The sequence below is a fragment of the Homo sapiens genome, chromosome 6 (genome assembly GCF_000001405.40).
Source record: "Homo sapiens chromosome 6, GRCh38.p14 Primary Assembly".
Classification (NCBI taxonomy): Eukaryota; Metazoa; Chordata; class Mammalia; order Primates; family Hominidae; genus Homo; species Homo sapiens.
Window position 1 is genome coordinate 158,676,300 of NC_000006.12, and position 15,350 is coordinate 158,691,649.

Consider the following 15,350-nt stretch of genomic DNA (forward strand, 5'->3'; position numbering starts at 1 on the left):
GGGGAAAGGATTCCCTATTTAATAAATGGTGCTGGGAAAACTGGCTAGCCATATGTAGAAAGCTGAAACTGGATCCCTTCCTTACACCTTATACAAAAATTAATTCAACATGGATTAAAGACTTAAATGTTAGACCTAAAACCATAAAAACCCTAGAAGAAAACCTAGGCAATACCATTCAGGACATAGGCATGGGCAAGGACTTCATGTCTAAAACACCAAAAGCAATGGCAACAAAAGCCAAAATTGACAAATGGGATCTAATTAAACTAAAGAGCTTCTGCACAGCAAAAGAAACCACCATCAGAGTGAACAGGCAACCTACAGAATGAGAGAAAATTTTTGCAACCTACTCATCTGACAAAGGGCTAATATCCAGAATCTACAATGAACTCAAACAAATTTACAAGAAAAAAACAAACAACCCTATCAACAAGTGGGCGAAGGATATGAACAGACACTTCTCAAAAGAAGACATTTATGCGGCCAAAAAACACATGAAAAAATGCTCATCATCACTGGCCATCAGAGAAATGCAAATCAAAACCACAATGAGATACCATCTCACACCAGTTAGAATGGTGATCATTAAAAAGTCAGGAAACAACAGGTGCTGGAGAGGATGTGGAGAAATAGGAACACTTTTACACTGTTGGTGGGACTGTAAACTAGTTCAACCATTGTGGAAGACAGTGTGGCGATTCCTCAAGGATCTAGAACTAGAAATACCATTTGACCCAGCAATCCCATTACTGGATATATACCCAAAGGACTATAAATCATGCTGCTATAAAGACACATGCACACATATGTTTATCATGGCCCTACTCACAATAGCAAAGACTTGGAACCAACCCAAATGTCCAACAATGATAGACTGGATTAAGAAAATGTGGCACATATACACCATGGAATACTATGCAGCCATAAAAAAGGATGAGTTCATGTCCTTTGTAGGGACATGGATGAAGCTGGAAACCATCATTCTCAGCAAACTATCTCAAGGACAAAAAACCAAACACCGCATGTTTCTCACTCATAGGTGGGAATTGAACAATGAGAACACATGGACACAGGAAGGGGAACATCACACACCGGGGAATGTTGTGGGGAGCGGGGAGGGATAGCATTAGGAGATATACCTAATGCTAAATGACAAGTTAATGGGTGCAGCACAACATCATGGCACATGTATACATATGTAACACACCTGCACGTTGTGCACATGTACCCTAAAACTTATAATAAAAAAAAAATGAGCTGGTTGTGGTGGTGGGTGCCTGTAACCCCAGCTACTTGGGAGGCTGAGGCGGAAGAATCACTTGAACCCGGGAGGCAGAGGTTGCAGTGAGCCGAGATCATGTCATTGCACTCCAGCCTGGGTGACAAGAATGAAACTCTGTCTCAAAAAAAAAAAAAAAAAAAAAAAAAGACTATTTGAAATAAAAAAAATAAAAATCCAACTGTATGCTTGCATAGGACTAATTTAGCTGGGAGTTACTGAGCAGTTGGACAAACTATCATGAAAAAATTAGGCTGATCTCAGTTTTACAATATGCAGCTTCTGCTGCTGCTGCTTTTGTTGTTGTTGTTGTTTTAATTTTATTTGAGAGACGGTCTCACACTATTGCCCAGACTGGAGTGCAGTGGTACAATCTTGGCTCACTGTAAATTCCACCTCCTGGGCTCAAGCAGTCCTCCCACTTCAGCCTCCTGAGGAGCTGGGACTACTGGCGTGCACCACCATGTCTGGCTGATTTTTGTATTTTTGGTAGGGATGTTGCTCAGGCTGGTCTGGAACTCCTGCGTTCAAGCAATCCTCTCGCCTCGGCCTCCGAAAGTGCTGAGATTACAGGCGTGTCCCACCAATGCGACTTCTTGATTTGAAGTTTTTGTAGTTCATGTGTCTAAAGGATCTCTGGAGACCTCCTTGCCACTGGGGTACTGGTTGGAGAACAGTTCTGCACAGGAGATGTGCTTCTTTAGGGATTTGAAGAATCCTGGCTGTGCAGACCAATTTTCTACTTCTTGTCAGTTGAATGGTGAAAATACGTTAAGCAACTCTAGGGACATCATGCTGACTTTTCTTGGAACATACAGTGTAGATGCAGTAGCTTAGCCACCTGCAGATGCAAGCAATTTAGATGCAAAATGCATTACAACACGTGTGTTTGGCTCACTGCTTGGTGTTAGTAATGAGGTCAAAATATTTTCTGGTAGAGTCCTCCATTCATCTTATTGAACGTTTGTGTGCTAGAATTTGCAAAGTGTTTTTCAACAGTTATTTCTCCTTTGATAATGAAATGACAGCATTAACAGAATTCAGGGCTGTGAAAATGGATGCTGAAAACCCCAGAAGTTTATTAAGAGCCATCTAGGCATCCAGTGCTTGGCATTTGTAATTCTAGTGATCCTCATGCAGTTAATGTGAAGGTCAGTCATGGGTCAGGTCTCCTGATTCTATAGCTTCGGCCCTCCCCACCACCCTAGGCTTTTGCCTTTTGAGATATATTTATGGGCTAATTGAAAAAATTTTTAAAGAAGTGAGTCATGATTCTGAAAAGTTTAAGGGCACAAATTTATTGCTGAACTCATAAATCTTCCAAGAAACTTTCATAACCTCATTCTGATTTAATCACCTGGGAAGAAGTGCTAGATGCTTTCTTTGGTTACTAATGAATCACACTACCCTGTGTTGGCCCTAACATGGACAGAGACTACAGGATCTATCACCTCTATCATAGACTCTAAGGGCAGTGAGTGGTCCTCCTTTGTAAACTTGGGATTAGGCCGGGTGTGGTGGCTCACACCTGTAATCCCAGCACTTTGGGAGGCCAAGGCAGGCAGATCACTTGAGGCCAGGAGTTCAAGACCAGCCTGGCCAACATAGTGAAACCCTGTCTCTACAAAAAATACAAAACTTAGCCAGGCATGGTGGTGCATGCCTGTAATCCCAGCTACTTGGGAGGTTGAGGAGGGAGGATCACTTGAACCTGGGAGGTTGAGGCTGCAGTGAGCCGAGATTATGCCACTGCACTCCAGCCTGGGCGATAGAATGAGACCCTGTCTCAAAGAAAAAAAAAAAGTCTTGGGATTAGTGCAGACAGGGAGTCCTTACAAAAGATATTGTGGAATAATTGCTTATGAAGATGCTGATTTTGCAAGAAAGGGTAATGGACACCCGGGCCAAACCTAGTATTCAAAGCAAGCAGTCTCAAATGCAAAAAGTGCTGGTTGTCATATGGTTTAGGGATAAAAATACTGTGGTATTTTTACTTTATTCTTTAATCACAGATAGGCCCAAGAGATCCTCGAGTTTATGCCCAAATCTCTATATGCCAAATTAGCTCCTGTTTAAACTGCACAAGTAATCAGTTGGAATTAAATGAGATTAGATGGTTCTATTAGATGATTCGCGCTGGGTGACTAGGATTTTAATTTATCTACTACTTGTGTAGGTTCTGAAACCAGGGCTGGAGTCCTTTCAATGATTTGCAATGTTCATTCACTTAGGCACTTTCACCTTTTGCTCTTCCCTCACCTTAGCTGTTTTTCATTTTCTGTGATTGTATGTCTGTCTGTGTGTGTGTTTACTTATCGATGTTGTCCCCCTGTCTGATTAGCTCAGTCGACTGTAGCGTCTCAGATATGGATATTTTGGGCCCAGTGGTAACGGGCTGGAGCATGTGAGAGAGGAGATGAGCTGAAATGGGTCACTCACCAGAAAGGCAATTCTGCAAGTAAGGTGCGTTTATCAGGCGGGGGCCTTGTAATTCCTGCCCTTTGGATTTGCTTTCTGTCCCCTCCTCTAAGGATTAGACCTTGTTCTGTTTGCCAGGACTGAAGAGGCATCTTTAGAAATTGAATATGGAGAGGTGCAGCCCTTCAAAGGCATGGGAATTTACCACCCATGACTCCCTCTGGACTTGCCCTGATTTTTTATGTTCTGCTTCCCACAAGTACTCCAGGGGAAAACTTCTGCCTAGAGGCTGAGACTGCCTTAAGGTGTTTTGTGTTGATGTAGGGGATTAGATAATTGAGTTTCTGACTTTATGGATGCAAACTTTTCCCTGTCTTTGTAGAGACATATCACAGTTGTACACTTTATATATTTTTGGCTCTGAATGGTAATGACTGATTACCAAAATTCTGTTATAGGCCAGATGCTGTGGCCCATGCCTGTAATCCCAGCACTTTGGGAGGCCAAGGCAGGTGGATTGCTTGAGCTCAGCAGTTTGAGACCAGACTGGGCAACATAGCAAAACCCCGTCTCTACAAAAAAAAAAAAAAAAAAACACAAAAATCAGCCAGGTGTGGTGGCACGTGCCTTTAGTGTCAGCTACTCAGGAGACTGAGGTGGGAGGATCGCTTGAGCCCGGGAGGCAGGGATTGCAATGAGCTGAGATCGCGCCACTGCACTCCAGCCTCAACAACAGAGCCAGACCCTGTCTCAAAAAAAATTATGAAATTCTTAAATGCTCTTTCTATATTTTCCTTGTTCTAGTCACTAAGTATTGGTAGTAATCATTTATGTACTAATCAGAAAATAGTAGTGTCTAACCAGATGAAGGAGAGAAAGTTAGTTGATATCTTCTCACAATTACTAGCACTTCATAGAGAAAGATAGCATATTTTGAAAAACGTGCAGATTGGCATATATTTGTGATTTTACTTACATTAGCAAGCATTAATTTTCTAAAAAATCCACTTGAGTTCATGTATAGCCTGAAAGAACCTAATGGAGAATTTATTTCAGTCAATACTGTAATTTATAGAAGAGAATCAGTCATGAGTTGAAGTTTTAATTTTTTTCTTAAATTTGCATAACAAAGGAATTGGCCAGTTTTGTGGCACATTATTTTAAGGATGTGAAGATCTTATAATATTTACATGTTTGCCTTTTTATATCCTAAAAGGATATTAACAATTCTGCCTTTCTGAGATTGAGGTTGAGTATGGATTCCCCCAGAAAACCAAGAGGAAAACCCATGTTAGGACGTCAGTTTGGAGCAGTTAGCGTCTCGAGTGCCCTCTGTGCTGTCATGCATGTGACTAAGATGGTAGGAGTTAAAGTCCTGCCGTAGGGAGCTGCTGTCAGACCAGTGGGCCAAACAGGGCTCCTTTCCCATGATTCACAAGTGGTCTGCTCAGGTGGATCGCCTGAGGTCAGGAGTTCGAGACCAGCTTGGCTGACATGGCAAAAACCTATCTCTACTAAAAATACAAAAATTAGCCGGGTGTGGTGGCGGGCACCTGTAGTCCCAGCTACTCTGGAGGCTGAGGCAGGAGAATTGCTTGAACCCACGAGGGGGAGATTGAAGTGACTTGAGATCGTGCCACTGCACTCCAGCCTGGGCCACCAGAAAAACAACAACAACAACAAGAACAAGTTGTCCACTCAGATTTAAGCCCCCAAATCTCCATCAACACACATTGATCCCATATTCCATACTTCAGGTCCTCCCAAGAATCTTCTCAGGTAACCCTGCTCTGTGGGCTCTTGGAGAATGTTGTAAACACAAACTAACCTTAGCTTAACCTACAGCTGATCTCCCTCCAAGCCCAATGCATAACATCGAGTTTTCCTGTAGCCCATCACTTGTGCCAAGAGCGTCCCACAGTTGACATGATACATTGGTCATTTGTGGTGATGTTGAGATGGAGGCCTGCTCTGTCACCCAGGCTGGAGTGCAATGGTGCAATCTCGGCTCACTGCAACTTCCGTCTCCCAGGTTCAAGCGAAAATTCTCCTGCCTCAGCCTCCCGAGTAGCTGGGATTACAGGCATGTGCCACCATGCCTGGCTAATTTTGTGTTTTTAGTAGAGACAGGGTTTTGCCATGTTGGCCAGGCTGGTCTCGACTTCCTGACCTCAAGTGATCCACCCACCTTGGCCTCCCAAAGTACTGGGATTACAGGCGTGAGCCACCGCGCCTGGCTGATACATTGGTCATTTTGATGATAATAATTTTGTTTCTCTTTGTGTATTTGTTCACAAAATATTAAGTACTGGATTCGTGCTGGGCACAAGTATATGTTAATATGCTTAACATTCACTTTTTTTTTTTTTTTTTTTTTTGAGACGGAGTCTGGCTCTGCCGCCCAGGCTGGAGTGCAGTGGCGAAATCTCAGCTCACTGCAAGCTCCACCTCCCGGGTTCACGCCATTCTCCTGCCTCAGCCTCCCGAGTAGCTGGGACTACAGGTGCCCGCCACCATGCCTGGCTAATTTTTTGTATTTTTAGTACAGACGGGGTTTCACCGTGTTAGCCAGGATGGTCTTGATCTCCTGACCTCGTGATCCGCCTGCCTCGGCCTCCCAAAGTGCTGGGATTACAGGCATGAGCCACCACACCTAGCCCATATTCACATATTATACATTGAACGTACACATGACATGCAAGATAAAACACATAGCGGTGGGAGTTGCACAGCTTTGCTGCTGATACTGAAATCACTTCGCCTCTATGGGGAATCTGTAAATTTAAGTGTTTAAGCCAGGAAATTGATTGCTGAGGTCCATTGCAAGACTAATATTTTGTGACCTTACCTAACCCTTAAAAGGGGTAAATATAGCACTATTCATATCTTCTCTCTCTGAAGCTTCCTTTCTGCTCATTTTTTCAGGAATGTCAAAATAAAAACTGGAGAATGGTTCTATGAGGAACGAGCCAAGAAATTTCCAACTGGAGGTAAATGCTCTTTACTTTTTTAGTAAAGTAAAATGATCTATTCCTAGTTTTAAAATATTTGATGTTAAGACTTTGGAATATAAGCAACATGATGGGTGTAGTCTGCGGGCCCCTATGTCTTGCCATTCCATTTGCTGATGCTCTCACTGTAATTCACGCTGCTCATTCCCTCTGCTCGCTACTCTTCCCTCTGCTGCATTTCTACCTCTGAGGTTGGCCCTATTCCTTTTTTTTTTTTTTTTTTTTTTTTGAGGCGAAGTCTTGCTCTGTTGCCAGGCTGGAGTGCAGTGGCACAATCTCGGCTCACTGCAACCTCCATCTCCTAGGTTTAAACGATTCTCCTGCCTCAGCCTCCGGAGTACCTGGGATTACAGGCACGTGCCACCACAGTCGGCTAATTTTTCTATTTTTAGTAGAGACGGGGTTTCACCATGTTGGCCAGGATGGTCTCGATCTCCTGACCTCATGATCCGCCCGCCTCGGCCTCCCAAGGTGCTGGGATTACAGGCGTGAGCCACTGGGCCCGGCCAGGTTGGCCCCATTCTTTAAGGCTCGTGCACTACAAGGTTTCCCTGGCTTCCTGCTTCTAGGGGTGATGTCCCCTCCTCTGAAACACCATCAGTGCTGGGTTTGTAATTCTCTTCTGTAATTGTTGCAAAGTTCCTTATATTGTAGCATTGTTTGTGCACTTCTGTTTCTCTCTACAAGCAGTAACTGTGATTTTAAAATCTTGTTAGCCCATATTGCGCCAAAGCACAATACCTTGTTTATAATACTTGAGCAAGATGATTGAATCAGTGAAGACCACAGTGAGTGAAGAGCGTTTGAACTGAGCAGAGGTTGATGCTTGTGGAGTGAGCGCATGTTGCGGTAATATGGGTGGAAGCATTTTGTCCGTATACTGTGAATGTCTTATAATGAGATGTTGACCTAAAGAAGGAAACTGAGGCAAAACTAATACAGGTGGAGAGTTTATCTGGGCCAAGGCTGAGGTCTGCAGCCCAGGAAACACTTCCAAGGGCTCTGGAGAACAAAGGAGAGAAGGGTGAATCAGGAGAGGGGCGATTACAAAAGCTGGTTTTCAGGAATTCTCGTGGGTTTACGGAAATACCCGTAATTTATTCATGATTCATGATTGGCTATCCATTGCTGAGCTATAGGCTGTGGGTGATGGTGTCCAGTGTGTGGCATTGTTAGGATAATTTATGGCTATTGGTGGTGACACTCAATCTAGAGTCCGTAGAGCAAGTGGCTTTGAAATGATTAGCCCAAGTTGGGGGACGTGATTGCGGGCTCATTTCGGTGTCTCTCTAGGCCTGATACTTTAAAGGAGGCTTGTGTTTCTTAGATTAAAAGTTTATTTTCTTTTTCAAAAGTATTTGCAATGTATGTTGTGCCAGTGTAATTGGTAGCTGGGACCTGGAACTGTGGAGAGAATGATTTGTGCTTTGATCACAGAAGAGCTGTGATGGGGCATCAGGACAAAGGCGCACACAGGCACCGTCACGGTGGAGTGCAGGCAGGTGCTGTGGGAACCACATCTGACTATATCAGGGATGCGGGCAGCACCCCTCCTCTGTGATGTGATGTTGGGGACCTAGACTCACAGCCTGACTCAGAGGGCAGCGGTGGCTCTTTTCTAGAAAAAGTGGCAATTTGCAGGTAGGGAAATAAGCCATAGAACCTCACCCAAAAGTTTGTTGGCAGTAAAGGAAGCCATTCATTTGGGTTGATATTCAGCTTTTATAAAGGGTGGATTTGCCCAGGTGTAGATTTGGTTGGTACTAAATTATCCCATGGTTTATATTCCTGGCTCTTCTTAAAAAAAAAAAAAAAAACGCTGCTTCTGCCAAGTTTATTGGAAACCTGGAGGAAAAAACTAATACTAAGGGTCATGTCAGGCAATGGAATGAAGCAGGGTTGCTGTTTCCTCTAAGCCAGTGTTTCTCAACAGCTTCTTACCGCCACCCTCTCCCCTACCCCACATAGCCTTTTTAGAGACTTTTTCAAAGTTGCTACCATAACCTTTTGATATCACAGATATCATATATCTATGTACTGAGGCCTTTTGGAGAGCCACAGACGGTTGAAATAGGTAAGATTTGCTACCAATCTTTGTCCCCTTAGGGGTGCCGTCATCCCATGTGGAATGTGTGACCTTGGCAAAGCAACTGCAGCACAGGACTTTTCTCTGTTTTTATTGCTTTTATGTCTCTCTCTCTCTCTCTTTTTTTTTTTTTTTTAGATGGAGTCTCGTTCTGTCATCCAGGCTGGAGTGCAGTAGCATGATCTCAGCTCACTGTAAACTCCTCCTCCTGGGTTCAAGGGATTCTCCTGCCTCAGCCTCCTGAATAGCTGGGATTACAGGCACACGCCCCATGTCTGACTAATTTTTGTATTTTTAGTAGAGATGGAGTTTCACCTTGTTGACTGGTCTTGAACTCCTGACCTCAAGTGATCTGCCCACCTTGGCCTCCCAAAGTGCTGGGATTACAGGTATGAGGCACTTCACCCGGCCACTTTTGTGTTTCTTTAAAATACTTTTTTGACCGGGCCCGGTGGCTCACACTTGTAATCCCAGCACTTTGGGAGGCCGAGGTGGGCAGATCATCTGAGATTGGGAGTTCGAGACCAGCCTGACCAACATGGAGAAACCCCGTCTCTACTAAAAATACAAAATTAGCCGGGCATGGTGGCACCTGCCTGTAATCCCAGCTACTCGGGAGGCTGAGGCAGGAGAATTGCTTAAAGCTGGGAGGCGGAGGTTGCTGTGAGCCGAGATCATGCCATGGCACTCCAGCCTGGGCAACAAGAGTGAAACTCCATCTCAAAAACAAACAAACAAACAAAAACAAAACCTTTTTGTTGGTGGGCTGGAGCCTTCTTCAGAAGGTAGACTCTACCCTTTTCCACATCAATTCCTAGCTTATAAACAGTAGTGCTGTAGGAGGTGAAGTTTGTCATTTCTCAATGCCAGCTAAGTGCAGACATCTGCTTCACTCAAAAAGTTTTCTACGTCGTTAGAAGTTCTAGCATCATTATTTCAGGTAAGTAGTTTTCATGTGTGCATGAATGTATGTGTGTGTGTTTGTGCACACACGTTACCATCTTGTCATCTTTTCAGCACTTCATGTCTCCTGAGTGAGTGGGAGAAGTATGTTATCAAGGTGACTTAAGATAAAAAGGGAATTAGGAAAGAGGTGAGACTGATGTCTTAGGGTTTTCTTTCTTGCCTTATAACTTTAAGAATAAAAACTTCAGTAAGGACAAACAAACCAGGGTCAGGAAGATCAACCTCAGCATAAATCATTCTTTTTTGCTGATGTCGTTTCTATCAATGTATAAAATAAACACCAGAAAAGCCCTAACTTTCCCTCCTTCTCTACAATGCTTCCTCAAATGCCAGGGTGCCTCATTTTCCCATTGTCCTGTTTCAGTAGAGTTGGGGTAAGAGGCATGGAACTATGGGGGAAAATGCCAGGTTAGGAGCACACAAGTAGTGCTATGAGCCAGACCAGGTTGGGTGGAGTTTGCAGCGGGTGCGTCAGGAAAGGTAACAAGGATCAGGTGACAGAGGTTTAGGTGGACAGGCAGGAATTCCACCACGCTCCTATTTGTGGCCCTAAAAGAGAACCAGGTGCAGTCATTGAGGAGTTGAATTGAATTTGTGCTGCAGCAGTTAAGATCCACTTAGGGAAATAGAAACTGTCTGGTTATTTGAATAAGAATTTACTTTAGGGATTGGTTAGACAGGAATTGGAGGCAAAAAGGGAATAGTGAGAGAACAGAGCTAGCAGCTGCAGGAGGCAGACACCCTCCGACCCTGTTGAGCTGATGCTGGCCAGACACAGGTCGGAAGGAAGGCATGAGCCCCTTCTCCCTCCTCCTGGCCCTGGTCTCCCTCTGGAAGCCCCCACTGGACCCTAATAGGGAGGCAACTGCAACCTCAATTCTCTGATGTGTTCCGGAAAAAGTGGTTTTGCATGTTCTCTAGTGTTTTTGTTGTCATGGTACCGGCAATACTCTTTCCAGCCCTCTATATCCTGAGCAGAAGTTAGAAAAACTAGATGGTGGTTTAAACCACAAAAGTGTACAGACAGCTCCAGTCTGTGCCTCTTTCCACGCACTGGTTATCTATTGCTGTATAGCAAATTCCCCTCAAACCTAGTGACATAAATCAAGTAACATTCTTTGACAGTTTCTGTCTTCAGTGGAAGGCTCGCCTGGGGCTGGGGGATCTGTGCTCTTGGGGCTTACCCTCATACCTGGCCAGTGACTGCTGGTATTGGGAGGAGGACTTGGTTCCTCACCATGGGGATATCTCCACAGGGCTGCTTGAGTGTCCTCATGACATGGCGGCTGGCTTCTCCCAGGGCAAGTGATCCAAGAGAGAGAAAAGCAGAGCCCACAATATCTTTTATGGTCTAGCTTCAGAAGCCACACCCTGTCATTTCTGCTATGCCCTATGGGTCCCACAGGTCAGCCCTAGTCAGAGAGGACAAAGGGTCTGAATATCAGGAAGCAAGAATCACTGGGACCGTCTGTGTGCTACCAAATCCTGTGTTCCTTGTCTTGGGAGAATGGCGACACCTCTCACTCTGTCTCCAAATCCACAGACCTGAGAATCAAACTTGACTCCTTTGTTCCTCATTCTGCCGCTACATCTGGTCAGTCAGCAAATCCTGACATTTCTGCCTCCTGAGTCTCTGGAATCTTCCTCTGCCCTTCATTCTCACTTCCAACGTAGCAGCTCCTAACTGCTTCCCCCTTGGTCCATCTTCTATTCTGTGAAGAGAGGGAGCTTCCTTTTCTCTTTGAAAGGAAGTTACTTACTTTCTGATTACAGAAGTAATGCAAACCTTGCAAGCATTTGGGAAACACAGAATAGTATTTAGATGTAATGGAAATACTACCACAATCCCAAACTACTGTAAATTACATGCACGTGTACACACCTGCACACTCCCAGCCTTCTTTCTAGGTAAGCCTGTGTATATGTGTGTGCACAGATAGACTTATCCAATTTCAAATGTATTGTGATCAGACTCTATGTGGTTTTATTTTGCTTTTACAATTCAACTTGGCATAAACATTTTCCTATGTTATTAAGACTTCTTCCAAAATGTATTGATGACTCCATAAAATACACCAAATATATGCACTATAGTTTATTTAACCTGTTCCCGAGTGTCTGTGAGTATATCACTGTATTTGATTTTTCATGTTATAGATAACTCTGTGATGAACGTCTTGTACAGGTATTTTGACATGTCTGTTTATTTTTGGGGGGTAAATTCTTAGAAGAATGATTGGTCAAGTGTATGAATACTTGAAAGGCTTTTGATGTTTTGCCAAATTACCCTCTGGGAGTGTGTGCTTATTTACAACAGGCTGGCAGGGTACACAAATTTCCTTCTTCCCACACTCTGGCCCCCATTACATTCTGAGCTTTGAAGCATGATTTCAAATTACATTCACGTAAAAAACTAGACGCCAGGCTCAGTGGCTCATGCCTGTAATCCCAGCATTTTGGGAGGTCAAAGCAGGAGGATCGCTTGAGCCCAGGAGTTCAAGACTAGCCTGGGCAGCATAGTGAGATCCTGTCTCTAAAAAAATTAAATGAAATTAAAAAATTAAAACCTAGAAAATGAAGAAAATCATAAAGAGCAATGTTAAAAATACAGCAGCTTCACCCAGAGAACAATTGTTGACATTTTAGTATATATTATTTCTGTTCTTTTGTGAGTGTATGTATCTATGCTTGTGGGTGCATATCTGTATGTGTGGATATATGTGTGTGTATACACACATATACATAGACTTTTTTGAAGTATTTAGGTTGAACCATAAGAAATTGGTATTTTTAGGCAAAAAATTATTGAATAGAGGCAATTTCACATGAGTCAGGCTAATATATTTACATAATTGAAATCAAATTGTATGTACAGTTTTATCCTAATGTTTCTTCATGTAGTAATTTATAAGGAACATTTTCAGTGTCCATAAATATCATTGGCTATATGATTTCTGATGAGTGTATCTCACCCCGTCATAGGAATGTGTCATCATTTGTTTAACCAAATAACTATTGTTGGATAGTTAGGGGATTTCCAGCTTTCTGTTGCATTTTTGAAAGTTTATAAGGTTATTAAAATGAGAATAATGCAAAGAATATCCTTGTAGATATCTTTTTGGCACATCTCTGAATATTTCTAGAAAGAGAACAAGATGAAGGTTAGGAATGTTGCCTCCTTTAGAAAGGGTGTGGAATTATCCTTAAAAATAAACCAACATGCAAACCAATAGATAACTTTATCAGTTTGGCAAAACAACATTGGTCATGCAAAATGGTTTTCTCATCGTTTTGATTTGAATTCATCTCATCACGAATAAGATTGAGTATCTTCCACTTTTCAACCTTCTGTAGATGTTCTTGGTATGTGAAGGCGATTAGTCCTTTTCAATCATGTTAGTTGCATGTTATCTTCCTAGTACATGGCCTTCTTTATAATTTTGTTTTTAACACAAAGAAGTTTTTTGTTTGCTTGTAGGCAAATCTCCTTTTCCCGTATAATTTCTTTTGCTTTTATGCTTCGAGACTTCTTCCTTATCCTGTGATAGGTTAAATATCCACATTAATTTTCTTCTAATTTTTACTTAACTTTTTTTTTTTTTTCCCCTTGAGACAGAGTCTCACTCTGTCACCCAGGCTGGAGTACCATGGCGCAATCTTGGTTCACTGCAACCTCCACCGCCTAGGTTCAAGCGATTCTTCTGCCTCAGCCTCCCAAGTAGCTGGGATTATAGGCACATGTCACCATGCTCAGCTGATTTTTGTATTTTTAGTAGAGACGGGGTTTCATTATGTTGGCCAGCCTGGTCTTGAACTCCTGGCCTCAAGTGATTCGCCTGCCTTGGCCTCCCAAAGTGCTGGGATTATAGGCCTGAGCCACCATGTTAACTCTTTACAATCATCAGGAGGCCCTATCTAATTTTTTTTCCTCCCAATCCTTGATGTTCCTGGTACCATTTGTTACATAACCATTCCCTTTCCCATTGCGTTGTAACCCAGGGCCACTGATTGGCACAGCGTGGGGCACCACTCTCCTTGTGCCCAGCCCTGCGCTCCAGCGGGTGCTGTCTCATAGAGGACACACGGTGCCCTCTCCTTCACCTGCAACTCTTGGCAATTTGGCCCTAGCCAGATTTTGAATGTTTGAGAGCAGGAGCTATGAGTAAAGGAATAAGTGAATAAATAAATTGAGCAGGGATCTGCTCATTTGGCCACAAAAAGTGCTGTTAGAGGGAGTAGTGTCCATTGTCAGTGCCCAGCACTGAGTAGGCACCTTACAAATGTAGACATCCTTCCCTTTTTGACACGGGGAAACCTAAAGCTAAATGTAACATTCAGTTGCAGTAATTCCAGGAATCATTACACCCTCTGCACCCAGTTTCCTTTTTATTAGCTTTTACTTATTTCTCTTTTGATGATCTTATTGGATATGTGCAATTTAAGATAAAATGCCCCCCAGATTTCCTTGGAAGTAGACATGCTATAAGAATCTAGTGAAGAATAATAAATTGTGGTAATATGTGTTGTGCTATTTTTTCAACTATTAAAACAATTTAAAAACAAGAAAAAATGAGCCTCAGTTCTTCATTTTGTAGAGCGATAGTACAAAAAATTTTAAATATTTTGATTTATTTAAAAATTTTTCTGATTATAGGCTGGCTTTTTCCCCTAAAATTTCATAACTGGATATTTAGTTTTGTGGTCTTAAAATAATTTCTTTGATGCCACCGTGGTGGTTCATCTGTAGTACATTCGAATTATCAAAGCACCCAGACCTTCATAGGCTCTCTTGCCTTTAGGAAGCTCCCCAGGACAACCTGGCATCATCACCTTCTGTGCCTCCATCCACGGGCATTTGGCAATCCGTGCAGAGGGTTTTTAATGTGGTTCCTGGACCCACGCTCCAGGATCAGCTGCAAACTGATTCAAATTCAACCTTCCTGGCCTCACACACACAGGTTCTAATTTGGTGGGGCCAGATGGGGTTCAAGAGTGAATGTTTGGCTAAGGGCGGTGGCTCATGCCTGTAATCCCAGCACTTTGGGAGGATGAGGTGGGAGGATCGTTTGAGGCCAGGAGTTTGAGGCCAGCCTGGTCAACATGGTGAAACGCTGTCTCTAATAAAAATACAAAAATTAGCTGGACATGGTGACACACGCTTGTAATCCCAGCTGCTCGGGGGGTTGAGGCAGGAGAATCGCTTGAACCTGGGAGGCGGAGGTTGCAGTGAGCCAAGATCATGCCACTGCATCCAGCCTGGGCAGCAACTGAGACTCCATCTCAAAAGAAAAAAAAAAAAGTGACTGTTTAACAGTTCCCCAAGTAACTTTTTTAATGTACTTTAAGTAAAGTAACAAAATTAGTAAACAATTATGATAGAACTTTTTTAGATCACTAATAACTAGAAAACAAGCTGAAAATTCATCTCTCCTCTTTTGGCATCTGCTAAGCGTATAGAAATGATGCCCTCTTCTGGCTCCTCCCTGTAAATGCACCTCTTTTACTTTTTTTCTTTTTTTTAACAACCATGACATTCTGTTACTTGATGTACAAGCTTAAAAGCAGAAAGATGACAATATTAATATTA

General features: G+C 43.0%; 1 protein-coding gene across 23 annotated transcripts in view, besides 1 other annotated feature; it reads left to right on the forward strand.

Annotated features, from left to right (window-relative positions):
- SYTL3 (synaptotagmin like 3) overlaps positions 1–15,350 on the forward strand; it is a 119,936-nt gene that overhangs the window by 31,364 nt on the left and 73,222 nt on the right. For all 23 annotated transcript variants that reach the window (XM_006715606.4, XM_047419556.1, XM_011536254.3 and 20 more), the window contains one exon: positions 6,626–6,690. In XM_006715606.4, the coding sequence (XP_006715669.1) occupies positions 6,626–6,690 (65 nt within the window). The remainder of the gene's footprint in view (positions 1–6,625; positions 6,691–15,350) is intronic.
- Positions 10,744–10,944: a silencer, noted in NCBI's record as "peak6273 fragment used in MPRA reporter construct". NCBI's record gives its function as "represses an SCP1 promoter by STARR-seq MPRAs in K562 erythroleukemia cells {active_cell/tissue: K562}" and the evidence as "EXISTENCE:reporter gene assay evidence [ECO:0000049][PMID:32103011]".